General features: G+C 38.9%; 1 protein-coding gene and 1 pseudogene across 6 annotated transcripts in view; one reads left to right on the top strand and one right to left on the bottom strand.

The window, feature by feature from the left end:
- Positions 1 to 1,638: 1,638 nt before the first annotated feature.
- Positions 1,639 to 18,211, bottom strand: part of CLEC1A (C-type lectin domain family 1 member A) — a 29,432-nt gene continuing 12,859 nt past the window's right edge. For 4 of the 6 annotated variants that reach the window (NM_001297748.2, NM_016511.4, NM_001297751.2 and 1 more), the window contains 4 exons: positions 13,322 to 13,498; positions 7,589 to 7,740; positions 5,378 to 5,496; positions 1,639 to 3,598 (listed from right to left, as the gene is read on the bottom strand). In NM_001297748.2, coding sequence (NP_001284677.1) covers positions 3,418 to 3,598; positions 5,378 to 5,496; positions 7,589 to 7,740; positions 13,322 to 13,498 — 629 coding nt within the window. In that variant the 3' untranslated portion in view covers positions 1,639 to 3,417. Of the gene's footprint in view, positions 3,599 to 5,377; positions 5,497 to 7,588; positions 7,741 to 11,013; positions 11,095 to 13,321; positions 13,499 to 18,211 lie in introns of all 6 variants that reach the window. The other 2 variants (XM_011520687.3, NM_001297749.2) reach the window with 2 other exon arrangements.
- Positions 16,271 to 16,575, top strand: RN7SKP161 (RN7SK pseudogene 161; annotated as a pseudogene).

Raw genomic sequence — 18,211 nt, forward strand, 5'->3', positions numbered from 1 at the left:
TCAGAGGATCCTGATTTGTTTGTAATCTTCAAATACTGTAAGAATCTCTCTACAGAGGAGTTGACTCCCAAATATTAAAGCTGGCCCAGAGACAACCTGCTAACCTACTAGACTTTTCTCCTTGTTCATAATGTGTTTGTATCCTCAAAATAAAAGCTCCCCGTTACTCTTCTCACACTTCCTGCTGTTACAGGGCTCATGACCTGTTTCCTGTTGATAAATCCTGAAAGCTGGTTCAATATCCTCAGGAAAAGAAAGAGCTTATTGTGTACCGGAGATCTCAGCTCTACCAGGAAAGGCTGGGCTCCTCGTTTGACTGTTCCTGCAATTTCTTCAGAATTACATAAACAAGAACCTAGAAAGAAAAAAGTCTCCTCATCCAGAAAAACCAGTTCATACAGTGCCCCTCTCTGATTCTCAACTGGATATTGTTCTTAGCAAATCAGATTTTAAAATTCACTTTATCATTATGTCCTATTCTTAATATCATTTTTCTAAAGTGTGTAGTGAGAATGCTATGCTATACACTTTTTTCTGTTGTTTTGAAATGTTTGTTCACATTGTGATCAATATTGTGAGTTTTGCTATAAAGACAAAGGGATTAAGGGGAAACATGAAGAATAAACTCAGGGAAGGAGCTGAAGTATGTCAAATGTATGCTATTTTTTCCTCCTCACAATCTAAAGTGACACTATCCCTTAGTCCCAGACTTGGAATGACATACCATTCAAAACTCACTCTAGGCAGCTAGACCCTTCACATCAATGGCACTTAAAGAGTGGCTTGTCATCCATCCCTGAGCTAGACTGCAGCCACATAGGATGCTAGGAGTCAAAACTTAAATGAGTGCATGTCTCTGTTTTACAGCTTAGTCCACAAAATCATTTGACTTCCTCCTATCAGTCATATTTTCTTTCTGTAGCAACAAGGCTTACATAACAATTGCTTAACTGCAGGCTTACTTCTCATTTCTTGTTATGTACCTATTATATGAACTACTTTCATCGAAAATCTGCACTCATCATCAAAAATATTTGGTAATAAAATCCTTAGCTCCCCAAAGTAGGTGCCCTTCTACAATTTGTTCATAAATACAGATTTCCAAAGAAGTTTGTTGTTATTAATAAATCAAGTTTAGCCTAACGCTGCCTTTTTACGTATTTTAAGTTTAGCTTAAAGGATTCTCTGTACATAATGTCAACTATAACAAGTTGAGGGGTAAACAGACCCTAGTCTATACTTGTGCCAATCACTGTGCTTTGGCCAATCAAATGTAGCCAACTGTTTGAATTGTGTTCAAATAAGGCAAACTCCGAGCTGTAAGCAATCCAGCTTTTTCTGTACCTCACTTCCGTTTTCTTTACTACGTTTTCCTTTTTCTGTCCATAAATCTTCTTCCACCACATGGCTGCACTGGAGCCTCTGAGTCTACTCTGGCTCTGGAGGCTGCCTGATTTGTGAATGAGTCATTGCTCAATTAAACTCTTTTAAATTTAATTGAGCTGAAGTTTTTTTCTTTTTAACATTGCTTATGCATGTGTATGTGCGCCCCTATATTTAAAAATAAATCACTAGATCCTTTTAAAAATATTTTCTTGACTTCCCTTACATTTTTTATTGCAGTTCACATTATGAAACTGATTTCACATTTACTTTATTTCAGCTAACAGTAACATTATGAGGAAATTATAATTATTTCTACTTCATATGCAGTGAAATAGGTTTCATGAAGTAAAGTGACTTGCCTAATAAGTAAATCAGAATAAGAGGTCTAAAATCTTCATTTTCTAACCACAAATACAGTTTTCTTTGCATGACACAATATATCAACAGAACTTGCTCGACCCTGAAGAAAATTTTAAGGAAATCAACAGAAAATTGAAAGGAAAGTTCTCAAGGAAGAATCCGCAATAGTCTTTGCTAAGTGACAATCTAACAAAATGAAGTTTATGAAAATGAGCACCAATGTGTTCTTTCTATCATATGATTGCTACTATACGTCATTTTACCATGAGATAGATGTTTATGAAAAACAAAACTGAAGCACCTCAGTTTCCACTGTTGAAAAACAAAGATTTATAATGTTATCTTTTCTAGCATAAAACCCTCAAAATTGATTTATCAGTAAACCAATAAACTTGGTGGCTGTGATGGTGTCATTCCCAATGATCCCTGTTATATTTGTGCATGGAGTCGTCTCAAGAAAGAAGTGCCTCACAAAGGAGCAGCTACAAAGATGTCACTGTCTCTGTTCATTTCCCATGACCTGACTGGAAATCATGTGCACTAATGCAACTCAGCTTCCTCATCAACCATGTGTTGATGCCATAAGCTCACCTCAAAAGATTTCATTTTAGGAAAACGTTAAAACTGTTTTCTTGAAGCCAACACGTATTTCAAAGACATCTTATTTTCTCCAGATAATCATGTAATCAGTACTCTTGTAAATTCCCCAAAAACTTTCAGTAAGGCACAATCAAAATAATGACCGCTATCATATTTTGAAAAGCATTTCCATGCTGAATTTTCCCACCAACCATAAGTCCATTGTAAAATCACACACACTTCACAGTATTTACATTTATTATTATTAAATCTTCAGTACCTGAAAGGTATAAATATGGGTCAATGGAAGAAAATAGGAACTGAAACTATTACAGGTGCAGATGAAGAGGCTCACTTTTTTCTGGTCTTTAATCTCTCTGAAGGGAATATCGGGGACGGTAGTTCTGATATGAAACGGAGATGGGGATATATTTCTTTCCTGGGAGAAATTCCTATGGAGGGGAGACAATTATCAGAGTCTTAATGGACACAGGAAGGAATGCTTATAAGGCATTGAGATTTGAGATTCTCATATCAAGTGACATCCCTGTTGGGAAACGGCATGGACAAGGCAGATGGGGTCTTTACTGATGGATTGGGAAGGGACTAGTATGAACTGAAACAAACAAAAAGAATTCCTTGTGTATTTGCTGGTACAATCTGGGAAGTGACTGCCAATTTCTGATGGACTACTTGACTGTCAGAGAAAAGGATGTTACCTCAATGTATTTCCTCTACTTCAAAAAGTTTCTTATTCCACCAAGTGTAAGGAAGACATGAAAACAGGGAGGTGATATTAGACATTGAGAAGAAAGAGAGCTAAAAGTTATCTCTAAGCCAAGAAGGCAGATGACATTATGGGTTTCTGAGGTTGGTTGGTGGCATGTAAATAAGACTTCTTGTGACTGTTAAATACGTGCATAAACCCAAGCTCAGAAATGCTGGTGATCCTGAACAGGAAACACGAGAACCCATTTTGTACTAGTCAGAGAGATAGTCTTTCCTGATTATGTTCCATTTCCCAATGTCTCAACTAGCCCTTGCTTTGGCACCGCCTGGCTCACTCTGCTATTTGTAGTTGCAGAGGGCGAATCAGTCACCTTCGCCTAATGTTTCAGGGGGGACATGGAGGCTCTCTGGCTTCACCATTCCTGCCCTTCTCTCACAGACACAACGCTTCAATTCTTTGCAGTCCTTTGAGAAGATCATCCCATTAAGGATGGCCACACAGTCTCTGCTTCTTGGGCTGGTGACATCTATTATAATATGGAACCTTAAGAAAGGAAGAAAAAGTAAATTCAATCACGGTTTATTTCTAAAATAAAATATTAAATACCCATTCTTTCTAGAGTTATAAAATTATAGTCTAGATACCAGAATAAGTTTACCGGGAAACTGGGGTCATGTGCCTCTTTCTCTTCAGCCCCTAAGTTTCCATACTCATTCTTAGAAACAGCAGGTCACCCCAAACAGCAAAAACCATTTCTAACTAAAGCGAAGCTACGTGTTCTCCTCCAAATTTATATAGTGTTTCTGCCACTTAAAAAGTTCTCTACCTTCTCTGTAACTCAGTTTACTTAACTGTAAAATACAAATGATTACATCAAATATATCCTGTCTCCTGGGAGAATAATGATATATTGTATATAGGGAAGAATGGTGTCTGTTCAAATATGGCTTTAAATGTGATATATTTTGATAGAGAAATTACAATTTCCTCTTTCAAAGGATACTGATGTGGTTTGGATGTGTGTTCTTTCCAAATCTTAGTTGAAATGTTATCCCCAGTGTTGGAGATGGGGCCTGGTGGGAGGTGTTCGGGTCATCGGGGTGGATCCCTCATGAATGGCTTGGTGCCCTCTTCTTGGTGATGAGTGAGTTCTCACTCAGTTAGTTGATGCAAGATCTGGTGGCTTAAAAGGGCCTGGAACCTCCCCCCAGCCCCTTCTCTTTTGTGTTCTCTCTTGCCATTGGACATGCCAGCTCTTGCTTCGCCTTCTGCCATGAGTAAAGCTCCCTGAAGCCTCCTCAGAAGCCAAGCAGATGCTTGTACAGCCTGCAGGATTGTGAGCCAATTAAACCTCCTTTCTTTATAAGCTATCCAACCTCAGGCATTCATTTATGCTGATGCAAAAATGGACTAACACAGATACCATATGTACTCCTGTCTAAATGCTCACAGCATATGTACGACTAGTGTTTTATATTACCCCTTACATTTTCAGCAAATCTTTTCTCAGAGATTGTGTTTTTTAAAAGATGTGCTCCCTATTTTGCTGCACAGAAAGCCAAGAACTCTTATGCTATCTCTGGGTACTGACAAGTTGTGTGACTTTAGGCAACCACCATTACAGCCTGGACTCCTGGGCTTCAATTTACTCACTCAGGGAAAGATCTCTCTCTCTCTCTCTCTCTCTCTCTGTCTCTCCCTTCTCTCATCTGCAGTATGTCCCAGACACAAACTTCTGAAAGCAGCAAGAGAACTACCCTGATATTTTACTAATGCTATGTATCTGTCTCCCTCACTGGCTTATAAGCAGTTCAAAAGCAGGCACTGGCCGGGTGCGGTGGCTCATGCTTGTAATCTCAGCACTTTGGGAGGCCAAGATGGGCAAATCACTTGAGTCCAGGAGTTCTAAACAAGACTGGGCAACACATCATAATCCTGTCTTTCCAAAAAAGACAAAAAATTAGCTGCATGTAGTGGTGCACGCCTGTAGTCCGAGCTACTCAGAAGGCTGAGGTGAGAGGAGAGCTTGAGCCTGGGAGGCAGAGGTTTCAGTGAGCAGAGCTTGCACCACTGCACTCCAGCCCATGCAACAGAACAAGACCCTATCTCAAAAAACAATCAAACGAACAAACACACACACACACACAAACAAAATGAGGATGCACTATTGTTCAAATATCTTCAGGCATCCTCCTGCAAACACAGTATCCAGTACAAAGCAGAAGTTTGATTAATACTTGATGGACCAAATTCTTGAGCTCTATCACTCAAGCAAAATATCTTTGTTAAATGCCTTTCCCATAAAATATCCTGAAGGCTTACAGTTCAGAAGTGAAAGGGGTTCCATCCATCCACAGCCAGGCCTTGCCACTGTCAGGGCGCAAAAGCCCTGTCCAATAAGAGTAGAAAAACTCAGAGTAGCTCTGAGACGCGGCAAATTCCTGTGAAAAGCACATAAGAAAAGCTTTAGCTTTGGTGGCATGATTACTCACATGTACAGACATGCATGGGCCAGCCAGCACTTTTCTCAAAGCACACACAAGTCCTGCTTCACATTGATGCTCATATGCTTAAGAGAAAAAGCATCTATGCTGAGGCCAGTCAGAAATTTGTCCAGGTTTAATAACTTATTTTGTCTTAGTAAATATGGAACACATGTCGATATTCTGAAAGCGGAAATCACATCAACCAAGATTTGTTCCTGACCCATGGCTTTTAAGGCACAGAATTAAACATTAATGTTGACATAAAAATATGAGGGAAAGACTAACAAAGAGATGCAGAATGATTCTGGGACATGGAAGAATATGGAGGGAAAAGTGCAGGAATGAGGTAGTAACCGTTATAAATACCTGGGAAAGGAAGAAAAAAAGTAAAAGAAAAATTTGCAAGGATGATTTATGTCTTAGACTAGGAAGAGAAGAAAGAAATTTTTAAATTTCTATCTATAAATATTTATGTGCACACATGTGTATAGTCCTATACATGGTAATCCTTTTCCCAATATCCATATTTAACATATGTTTACATTTTAAAAGTTGTTTACTTACTTCTATCTAGTCTCACTCTGCACTCCTAATAGATATTTTTGGAGGATTGGTGGCGACAGGGTCTCACTCTGTTGCCCAGGCTGGAGTGCAGTGGCACGATCATAGCTCACTGCAGCCTCAACCTCCCCAGGCTCAGTGCACTCCTAATATTTTAACATAGAAATTATCTAAATATTTATTATAATTATCCATTTAAATAATGAGTTTCTCAAGGCCGTACACTTTGTTTCATTGTTACATCCAAAACCCCTCAGATAATTAATAAAATATACTGATTTAATGAGAGATTATTGAAAATGTAAATGAAGCTATTACCAAGCAATAGTCGTAGAGTGAACAGGTGAAAATAACTGTAGTTGAAAATATTTATTCCAATTAAATGGGCGGGTGCCTTCAAATTAAAAATTTTGAAAGCAAATCATATGAAAAAGATTTAAATATATACAAATATATGAAGTTCATGATAGAAAATAACTACATAGGTTCAACAAGACAATTTCCTACCACGTGATATAATATAGTTCAGTTTTATACCTGAGTTTGCAGTGTATGCTGGAGGCAGAGGAATCAAAGAGAATAAGAAAAATTAGGAGGGTTTATGCTAGGGCACACTGTCTTAGTCAAAGAAATTGCCTCGCTTTCTGCCTAAATTAAGCCATCGAGAAAGGGTTATAAAATATTAGTAGCCGAGAAAAATTACAGAGGTTCTTTCATCACAGATTTCAGGAGGTAGGTAGAAATTAAGAAGTAATTAGAATGATGTTAAGAATTTGTGTAGTGAGCTGAGCATTTAATTCAATTAAATAACCCTTTGTTGATAACCTACTCTTCATCAAGAAAAATCTCTGCTAAATTCTAGAGAAACTGATAAATAAACAACGGCCATACTATTTGAGAACTTCAATTCAAAGGCAGTAATAAATATGAGAGAAAGGGGAATAATCATATTTTAATGATGTACTTTAATTGCGTGTACTAACTCAATATATGTCAATTTGTAGTTTTATTGTCACATTTGCCTTGACCAGTCTATCCTAGGCTGTAAACTTCTGGAAAGCAAGATATACATTTGCAGATTATGGTAAAAACTTAGTTAAATATTTTCCACTTAAAAGCTTTGCCACTTTTAGAATGGAAGAGCAGGCAGCCCTATTTTCATGTTTCTGACATTGCATCAATATTATTCCTTTTCTACCCAAATCAAAACAGGAAAGAAGTTAAGACATTCTAACTTTGTTCCCTGAGAGGGGATTTTAAAGTGATATTGCTCATCTTCCTAAGGTGTGTGTATTTGTGGAGAACACAACTCCTTCTATCTACTTCAGGGGACCGTTCAAAGCAATAGGAATAAGACTCAGGCCCTGATCGAAACAGGTTCGAAAACCTGTGGACCGATATTCTTGATCCTTAGAGTCTTCTTGCCTAATGCTTTTAAGGCCTCTTTTTGAAATCCTTCAAACATTGAAAAGCCTCAGAATCTTACCAGGTCTTCTTGTTTGTTTATCTTCAGCATGGTAGAGTTTTCACTAAGGCAGAAATATTTACAGTCCTCCCAACTTTTGCTGTCTTTATAGAACTGGTAGCAATTGTCTCCATGCCATTTCCATTGTTCTGTACAAGGGCTGCACCTGTGTGCTTGGAAAAAAGCCAATTTTATTGTTATTTTCTGCATGAGTCTGTCTTGCTCCTCTCTTGAAATTATATAGTATTTGATGTCCTAAGAAAGAATTAACTCTTCCTCAATATTTAATTAATTACCCAGGCAATGATAACTACAATGTTTACTGGATACCTACTAACTGCCAGGAATTATAACTGGTCCTAAGTATGTTGTAGAAATTAAAACAGACACTAATTGCTTATGTGGAATCTAGTAATAAATGATTAGAACTTTCTTGCCACTTGCCTATGAAATTCAGCACATGAAGAGAATATTCAATTTCACAAAGCATCTCAAATGTACAGAAACTCCAACTGCATTGTGTTTAGGAAATAAAGTTTCTATAATGTTCTCCTCAAAATTATCTTACATAATAGTAAAATAAGTTTTAAAAAATACGGTATATACCAATATGATGTGGAGTCTTTTTAAGGAAAAAAATACTGAGGCAAGCCTGAAGTTAGAATGCTGAATCTCCATGTGTCACAAATTAAATTGGGCATCCAGGCCAGAGAAGTATGGGTAGTGATCGCAAATATAGGTGCCAAGCCCTGAGAGCTATAGTTTTAACCCTATGTGGATACATGACCTTGGGTCATTTAGAGTTAGGAACCTAATCCAGTCTCTTGTGGGTCTGTAGTGGGATGAGAACCCAAGTCATATCTATAACAATTTCTTTATTTTAAAAGCGATCTAGTTAACATGTTAAAATCTCAGTGGCTAATACACAGGTAGGTGTTATATTATTGTTTATATCTTCTTGTAAATTTGAAATATTTCATGAAGTAAAACAAAATATAAATAAATAAATAAATAACTTAGAAGGATATCTTTGTCATGTTATGAAAAACTTGCTGTGGAGCTCAATAGCTTTTGCACTCTCTCAGACAGGTCGGCTTGCTTCAGAATTCTACCAGGAGAAATGTAACAACCTGGAGAGACTCAAGCAAAAATGCAGGGAGCCTCAGACGTTCTAAAACACAGAACAAGAATGGGAATGATGCTTACCTAAAAGGATTATTGTAAAGAGTAAATACGTAAAAAACAGAGTCCAGTTTGTGCAGAGACTTATGCATAAAAAGCATTTAATAAAGGTCCGTTTCAACTATGGTCCCTGTTGTTGTGAGAACTTAGATGGGTGATATATGCTTGGAGTGCTGTGCTGAAAAAGATTATGAAGCAGCAACTGGACTCAGCAAGGAGAATCTTGGTTCATTCTGCTCTGGATTCAATAAATAAAAACTATGTAACTGCAATTTTGGTACAGTGTATTAATACCTCATTCCAGTCTCACATACAATGTTTTCTTAAATACCTTCAGTCTTCAGATATGATAAGTGACCCTCTATGTGCTCTATGTAAAAACAAGTCTCCTACTTGTAGGGGAATTAATAGAGAAATTTTCAATGAATGTTTAGGAGGAAGCAAGGGACAATTAGATCAAAAGGTGAGAGACTAAAGGACTGAGAGCCTTATGTGAAATAGGTAGTGATACTATGTAACTAAAGAGACAGAGATAGAGAAACTTCTTTACTTTCTTAACTTCAACTACCTAATATTTGATATACTATTACTTAAACCATTGGAGGAGGAAAATAGAATACAGATTAGAAGAAATTCATTTCTCTCTATATACATATAGATATAGGTACAGACATAGATATAGATAGATATACAGATACATATACCCTCCATTCCAGCCTAGACAACAGAGTGAGACCCTGTTTTCCCCACCTCTCTGCTCCCCCCAAAAATATATATTTTTAAAGGAGAAAAATGCATATTTTTGGCCGGAAAAACGGGTGGACTGAAAATGAACTGTTCTCAAATGTTTTGTCCATGGCATATACACCTAGGAAAAATAAAATACTAATTTCTAAACGGAACATGTACACTTTCTATGAACTCTCTTTACCTATAAATTACCATTTTTATATTATATAGTGCAATAAATGTTTATAGATATTTAGGATCAATAAACAATAATGTTCATATTAGCAAGGCCAATAACCCCAGGACGGGCATTCCATTTCATAAATACATGAAAATATGTCATCCAAAGAAAAGGCTAATCGTCTTTTTTTTTCTTATAGTCCTTTCTCTCTCCATTTCTCCTTTATTTTTGCTGTGTTTTGGGCAAAAGGAATGTAAGTCTGTGTATGTGTCTGGCCCAGAATTTTCCCTCATATATCTAACTCCCCAAACAGCATTCCTGGTTTCTAATCTTCCCCTTGTAGCCAGAGAATTCTTCTTCCTTTCACTCGACCACATCTCTATGCTTCTAGTTGTTTTGACCCCAAATTCTGGAGCTGTTTTTGAATCTTTCATTTCTCACACATCAATTTATATCCCATCATGCCATCATTTCCACAAACAATATCCTAGTTAGAAGAACCATCATATTTCTCCTAGATTTTAGTAACAGCCATCTCTTATCTGATTTCTCTGTTGCTATTCTTTCCTCTTCCAGTCTAATTTTAACAGAATGTAGATTAAGCCTTTAAAAACTTATGCCAGATCATGTATTTCCTCTGCTTAAAACCCCATAATTAATCCTCATCTGCTCAAAATAGTAGCCAAATCTCTCACAAAGGCACCTAATGCTGTACATTATCTCTACCTAGCCTCCTGTTAGTCTTCCACTCCAACCGCATGAGCTCCTCATTATTCCTGGAATATGCAGATACATTCATGTTTTAAGGCTCTTTTGTTTCCTGTTTTAACTTAAAGCTTATTATTTCTCTATATTACATGGCTAACTCCCTCAACTTTTCAAGTCTTTGCTACCATATAATCATCTTAATTCAGGATTTACGACAGCTCTATTTAAAGTAGCAACAGACTACCCTGGAATTCCTTATCCCTCTTGCCTTGTTTACCTTCATTTCTCATAGGATTGATTAATCTCTCATACATTGTATTTAGGTTGGCCGATCATTACTGTATACCTGGGACCTAGAGTTTCCCAGAATGTGGGACTTTTAGTACTAAAATAAGGAACGTTGGGGGCCAACTTGGAAATGCTGGTTGATATAGTTTGAACATTTGTCCCCTCCAAATCTCATATTGGAATTTGATCCTCAGTGCTGGAGGTGGGGCCTAATGGGAAGTGTCTCGGTCAGGGAAGCAGATCCCTTATGAACAGCTTGGTGAGTTCTCGCTCTATGAGTCCCAGGAGAACTGAGTGTTAAAAAGAGCCTGGCATGTCTCTCCCCAATCTCTTGCCTCCTGGACTCTTGTCATATTACCTGCTGCACTTTCCCCCATGTGTGGAAGCTGCCTGAGGCTCTCAGAAGAAGCAGATGCTGGCACCATGTTTCTTGTATAGCCTGCAGAATCATTAACCAAATAAAACTCTTTTCTGTATAAATTACCCAGGCTCAGGTACTCCTTTATAGCAACACAAACAGACAAAGACATTAGTCATCTTATGTTTTTCAATATACTTACTTCTACTACCCCACTAGAGTAAGTGGTCCATGAGAGTAGACATCCTGTGTGTTTTGTCAGATATGCATCAGTAGGCATTCAGTAAATACTCCAACCACACTGGTAGCAGTACGAACTAAATGCATAAATATCACTTCAGTGGGTGGATGGATGGATGGATAATGGGTAAGATGAGGGTAAGAAATAAAAAGTAGCAGATTAAAACTGAGAACTGACATCTAACCAAAAATATGTAAGAATTTTTTATGAGAAGCAGCATTAATATATTTGCATTTAGATTTTATATTTAAATTAAATGTAACTTATTTGCATAGCTTCTCTTTTTGTTTGTTTTTATATACCTAAATAAAAATTTGAAAGACCATTTGTGTTAGGAAAATCTCGGTTACCTTAAAAAAAAATTTTTTTTAGCCAGGTGCAATGGCTCATGCCTGTAATCCCAGCAGTTGGGAGGCTGAGGCGGGCAGATCACTTGAGGCCAGAGTTCAAGACCAGCCTGGGCAACATGGAAAAACCCCGTCTCTACTTAAAATATACAAAAATTAGCCAGATGTGGTGGTGCATGCCTGTAATCCCAGCTACCCAAGAGGAGATACGAGAATCACTTGAACCCAGGAGATGGAGACCGCAGGGAGCCGAGATCATGCCACTGCACTCCAGTCTAGGTGACAGAGCGAGACTCTGTCTTAAAAAAAAAAATTAAAAATAAAAGTAAAAATAAAAATAAAAATAATTTTTGAGATAGTATCTTACTATATTGCCTGGGCTGGTCTTGATCTCCTCAGCTCAATCTTCTAGCCTCAGCCTGTCAAGTAGTGGATTATCTTTTTGAAGATATGGCAACCAACAAAGGAAAGTATGCACACTGGGCTTTGTTAGAAAAATTTGTAAATAAATGCTGGGCACGGTAGTTTACGCTTATAATCCTAGCACTTTGGGAGGCTGGGGCAGGGGGAACACCTGAGGTTGGGAGTTCAAGACCAGCCTGCCCAACACAGTGAAAACCCATCTCTACTAAAAATACAAGAAAAAATTAGCTGGGTGCAGTGGTGCACACCTGTAGTCCCAGCTACTCAGGAGGCTGAGGCAGGAGAATTGCTTAAACCTGGGAGGAGGAAGTTGCAGCAAGCCGAGATCGTGTCACTGCCTTCCAGCCTAGGCAACAGAGTGAGACTCCATCTCCCCCCACCCCCAAAAAAAGGAAAAAGAAAAATTAGTAAATAAGGACATTATGACCATTGAGGTCATTAGTTATGTAGGAAAGAATCACTTAGAGAAGTAAAACTGTGCCTATTAATATTTTCTCCTGCATAGCCATGCAATCAGGATGTCTGTTTCAGGTGGGAAGTGGTGTGTGTATAGTAGATGAGGAGACTTTGCCCTCCTTCAGAGTTCCTAAAAAAGAAATAAAAAGTGGAAACCTGAACATGTATGCCATTTCCTAAGTAAGCATGATAAAGAGAGCAGAAGAGAGAGCTGACCTGAATAAAGTGGATTATCACAAAACCTGAAAAGAATAGGAGAATAGGAATACACATGCACTCACACTGAAGCGATGCTCCTAGACTTCTCCAGCAGTAATTTTATCAACGGTGGTTCACCTACCATTGGCACTGTCATCATCTGTGGTCCTTATTAAACTGCATATTTTTGATACCCAGCCAAGTTATCCTGAATTAAAATAACTTGAATTTGATTCAGGTTATCTGCATTTTCAGACTAGTCCCTGTATGTTGTTTAAGATTTGAGAACTATAGTTATGAGTTTGCTTACTTCTTACTAGGAAAGAATTTGTAAGAACATTTGCCGAGGTAAATTGAGACATACCCCTGTATTTTCTTTACTCGTAGTCTTATTTTGGTTATTCTTAGTTAATTGTTTTTATTGTTTTAAAATGTCTGCATTTGAAGAGTCCCTTGATGCATGGTATCACAGACACATATGAATCACATGATCCCAACAACTGATCATGATCTTGAAGCCCAAACCCTTTTTCAGTTTGCCAGACCTCTAGTTAAATAATACTTGACTCTCACTTTCACCGGCGGGAAATCCATCTCTCTGTTTCCAGACAACATGGGGACAGAGTGACCAGGACACACTTACCTCCAGCTTTGTTATACAGCTCACGACAGAGTTTTTCAGCCACATGCTGCAGACTTCCTGCAAGCTTTATATTCTGGACTTGAAGAGATTGCAACTCTTGGGACGTATTTCCTAATCTTTCTTCCATTTGAGAAATGGTGTCTTGACCAGTATTGGAGAGCTGGTAGTACTGAAAAACTAACCCAAATGACCAAGTCAGACTGGACAGCTTATTTCTATGTTTTATTTCCATTTTCTGCTTATGGGGAAGACAAAACAGTATATTTTTTAGTATCTCAGGCTCTGAGTTCTCATATTGCCTATATTCAAGTTTGGACTCTAGTACATATATGAGAAGTTGTATCACCTTGGGCAAATTAATTTCTTTAAGTCTGTCTAAAAATGTGAAGTCATGAGGAGAAAATGACGGCTAAGAGGGCTAAGATAGAGCTCCCATTTGGACAACAGAACAGGGTGAGGAGACTCACACTGTGAACTTTTCCTCCAGGAACCACCTCAGGAACATACCAGGAAAATTGAAAGAATGCACAGATCCTTTGAAAGAAGCAACTCAATACTGAAAATTCTGGAAGACAGCCAAAAATGTGTGAAGTGGGGAAAACCCACCTCTGAACACACATCCCTAATGGGGAACCTGAAAATCTGGGTTACATGAGAAGGATTTAACCTCACCTGGAGCAGAAATGGATGTAGGGAGCCAAATATAAAATAGATGCAAAATATAAAAGTAGAAGAAGCAGAGGAAAGAGTCCTGTAGGCACTCCCATTCTCCAGCTCAAGCCCAGGGAAGCCATCCCTGACTTTGTCTCACAGGGGTCCTTGGACAAGGCAGCCAGTGGAATTAAAGAGGAGACACAGGATGAAAGAAGCTTCCAAATGAATTTTGTAATAATTTCAACTGGATATGAATTTTCTTAAGCAGAATCCAGGGGGCAAAGAGGAACTGCTACAGATATCAGCACAGGAACTGTGACAGATGGTGTGGGAAGGTGGGGAGCGGCGTGGCCTGAAAGCCTGCTTGCTTTCTCAGTGGGAAGGGTTGTAGCCTGAGGCAAGTTCAGAGCCCCAGGCATGAGCTGCCAGGATATAAACTTCGTGGTGTTGGTGGGGCATGGGGGGAGCAAGACTTGCATCACCAGCTATGTGGGAGCTGGGTAAGGCCTATCACTGCCAGCTTTCTCCCACTTCCCTGGTGACCTGTATGACACAGCAGAGGCAGCCATAAAATCCTGAGAACCAACCCCCATCCCCCACAGGATTCATGACAAGCCCCGTCCAAGGAGAGTGGGAGCTCAGACCTGCCTAACCCTGATCCCATGTGATGTTTTTTCTCTATGCACCCTGGTACCCAAACACAAAAGACATAAACTTGGGAGCTGTATGGCCCCACCCATCACCTGAGAAACCTGAATACTCATCCTGGCAAACTTAGAACAAGCTTACATCCCGTGTCTACTACTGCAGCTGGTGCTCTCTTTAAAGCACCACCTCCTGGCTGGAGGCCAACAACTCAAACCATTAGAGTAACTCAAGACAGAATAACCCTGCTCCAAGGAGGGAGAAGACAACAGCTAATTCCACTGCCTGCAACATCCTGGCTAACCAGAGGTCCTGAGTGCATCCATCTGACAACTTCACTGCTAGCATAACCAGCATTCAAGGAAGCCAGCACACTAAACAGCACACTAAACATATCTACAACCAAGGACTCTCACACAGTCTGCTTCACCTCCTTGCCAACTTCACCAGAGCAGGTGCTGGTATCCACAGATGGGAGACCAGAAGATGGATCATATCACAGGACTCTGCAGACATTCCCCAGCACCAGCCTGGAGCCTGGTAGCACCACTGGGTGGCTAGACCCAGAAGAGAATAACAATCACTGCAGTCTGGCTCTAAGGAAGCCCTAGACCTAGGGGAAGGGGGAGAGCACAACATCAAGGGATCACCCCATGGGATGAAAGAATCTGAACAGCAGCCTGTGTGTTCCAGATCTTTTCACTGAAATACCCAATAGACCCAAATGACAAGGAAACAGAAAAATAATTCTGGTAATATGACAAAACAGGATTCTATAGCACCACCAAAAGGTAACACTAGCTCCCCAGCAATGGATTCAAACCAAGAAGAAATCTTTGAATTGCCAGATAAAGAATTCAGAAGGTTGATTATTAAGTTACTCAAGGAGATACCAGAGAAAAGTGAAAACCAACTTAAGAAACTTATTTATGGTTTTCTTTCTTTCTTTTTGAGACAGAATCTCACTCTGTTGCCCAGGCTGGAACGCAGTAGTGTGATCTTGGCTCACTGCAACCTGGATCTACCTCCCAGGTTCAAGTGATTCTCCTGCCTCAGCCTCTCAAGTGGCTGGGATTACAGGTGCCCACCACCATGTCTCTCTAATTTTTATATTTTTTGTAGAGATGGGGTTTCACCATGTTGGCCAGGCTGGTCTTAAACTCCTGACCTCAGGAGATCTGCCCTCCTCAGCCTCCCAAAGTGCTGGGGTTACAGGCATGAGCCACCATGTCCGGCCTAAACAAATTTTAAAAAACAATATAGGATATGGATTTAAAAAATTATCCAGAGAAATAAATATCGTAAAGAAAAAACAATCACAACTTCTGGAAATGAAAGACACACTTAGAGAAATAGAAAATGCAGTAGAAGGTTTCAACAATAGACTAGAACAAGGAGAAGAGAGAATTTCAGAGCTTGAAGACAAGGCTTTTGAATTACCCCAATCTGACAAAGACAAAGATAATAGAAAAAAAAAAATGAACAAAGTCTCCAAGTAAGTTGGAGTTATAGTAAATGGCCAAACCTAAGAATAATTGTTTCTGAGGAAGAAGAGAAATCTAGAAGTTTGGAAAACTTATTTGAGGGGATAAACCAGGAAAACACCCATGGTCTTCCTAGAGATCTAGACATCCAAACACTAGAAGCTCAGGATGTAAGGGCAATCTGGCTGCGATATCTGTCACCCCACTGATTGCCAGTGTTGATTCAGCGGATCTGGCTGGCTAGGTGTGTGTCCCCTTCCTCCCTCACTGTTCCATGTGCATCCCTCCTGAAGCTGTGCACTGGGTCGAAGAGGACGACCACACCCGATAGAGGAGGACCAGTCTGGTCAAGGGTATATGTGTAGCTGCACTCTCCTGCTAGAACCTCCAAACAATCTCTCAAATACTAGAAGCTCAAAAAACACCTGAGAAATTCATTGAAAAAGATTATCGCCTAGGTAAATATTCATTATGTTATCTAAAGTCAAGATGAAGGAGAGAATCTTAAAAGTTGTAAGACAGGCCAGGTGCAGTGGCTCAAGTCTGTAATTCCAGCACGTTGGGAGGCCAAGGTGGGAAGATCACGAGGTCAGGAGATTAAGACCATCCTGGCTAACACGGTGAAACCCTGTCTCCACTAAAAATACAAAAAATTAGCCAGGCGTGGTGGCAGGCGCCTGTAGTCCCAGCTACTCAGAATGCTGGGGCAGGAGAATGGCATGAACCCGGGAGGCGGAGCTTGCAGTGAACCGAGATCGCGCCACTGCACTCCAGCCTAGGCGACAGAGTGAGACTCTGTATCAAAAAAAAAAAAAAAAAAAAAAGAAAAGAAAATGTTGTAAGACAGAAACATCAGGTAATCTATAATGAACACTTACCAGATTAATAGCTGACATCATCAGAAACCCTACAAGGCAGAAAGGATTGGGGTCCTATTTTTACCCTCCTCAAACAAAATTTTGTCAGCCAAGAATTTTGTATCCAGTGAAACTGAGATTCATAAATGAAAGAGAGATAATGTTTTTTTCAGAGAAACAAATGCTGCAAGAATTTGCCACTACCAAGACAGAGCTACAAGAAATGCTAAAAGGAGTGCTAAATCTTGAAACAGAATCTCAGAATACACCAAAATAGAATCTCCTGAAAGCATAAATCTCACAGGACCTATAAGACAATAACACACACACACACACACACACACACACACACACACACACACACACAATAAAACAAGGTATTCAGGCAAGAACTAGCATAATGAATAGAACAGTACTGCACATCTCAATACTAACACTGAATGTAAATGGCCTAAATGCTCCACTTAAAAGCTAAAGATGACAGAATGGATTTCACCAATCAAGTATCTGCTGTCTTCAAAAGACTCACCTAACACATAAGGACTCACATAAACTTAAGGTAAAGAGGTGGAAAAAGATATTCCACGCAAATGGAAAACAAAAATGAGCCGGAGTAGCTATTCTTTTATCAGACAAAACAGACATTAAAGCAAAAACAGTAAAAAAAAAAAAAAAAAAAAGACAAAGACGGACATTATAGACATTATATAGTGATAAAAGGAATAGTCCAACAGGAAAGTATCACAACCCTAAATATATATGCACTTAACATTGGAGATCCCAAATTTATAAAACAATTACTACTAGACCTAAAAAAATGAGATAGACAGCAACACAATAATAGTGGGGGACTTCAATACTCCACTGACAGCACTAGACAGGTCTTGAAGACAGAAAGTCAACAATGAAGAAGAAAGAAAGAAACAGTGGACTTAAAACTATATCCTAGGACAAATTGACTTAAAAGATATTTACAAAACATTCCATCCAACAACTGCAGAGTATGCATTCTTTTTATGAGCACATGTAACATTCTCCAACAAAGGCCATATGATAGGCCACAAAAAAAGTCTCTATAAATTTAAGAAAACTGAAATTATATCAAGTATTCTCTCAAAGCATAGTGAAATAAAATTGAAAATTAACAATACAAGGCACCCTGAAAACTACACAAATACATGGAAATAAAATAATCTGATCTTGAATGATCTTTGGGTAAACAACGAAATCAAGATAGAGATTAAAAAATA

This window comes from Homo sapiens, chromosome 12 (assembly GCF_000001405.40).
Source record: "Homo sapiens chromosome 12, GRCh38.p14 Primary Assembly".
Classification (NCBI taxonomy): Eukaryota; Metazoa; Chordata; class Mammalia; order Primates; family Hominidae; genus Homo; species Homo sapiens.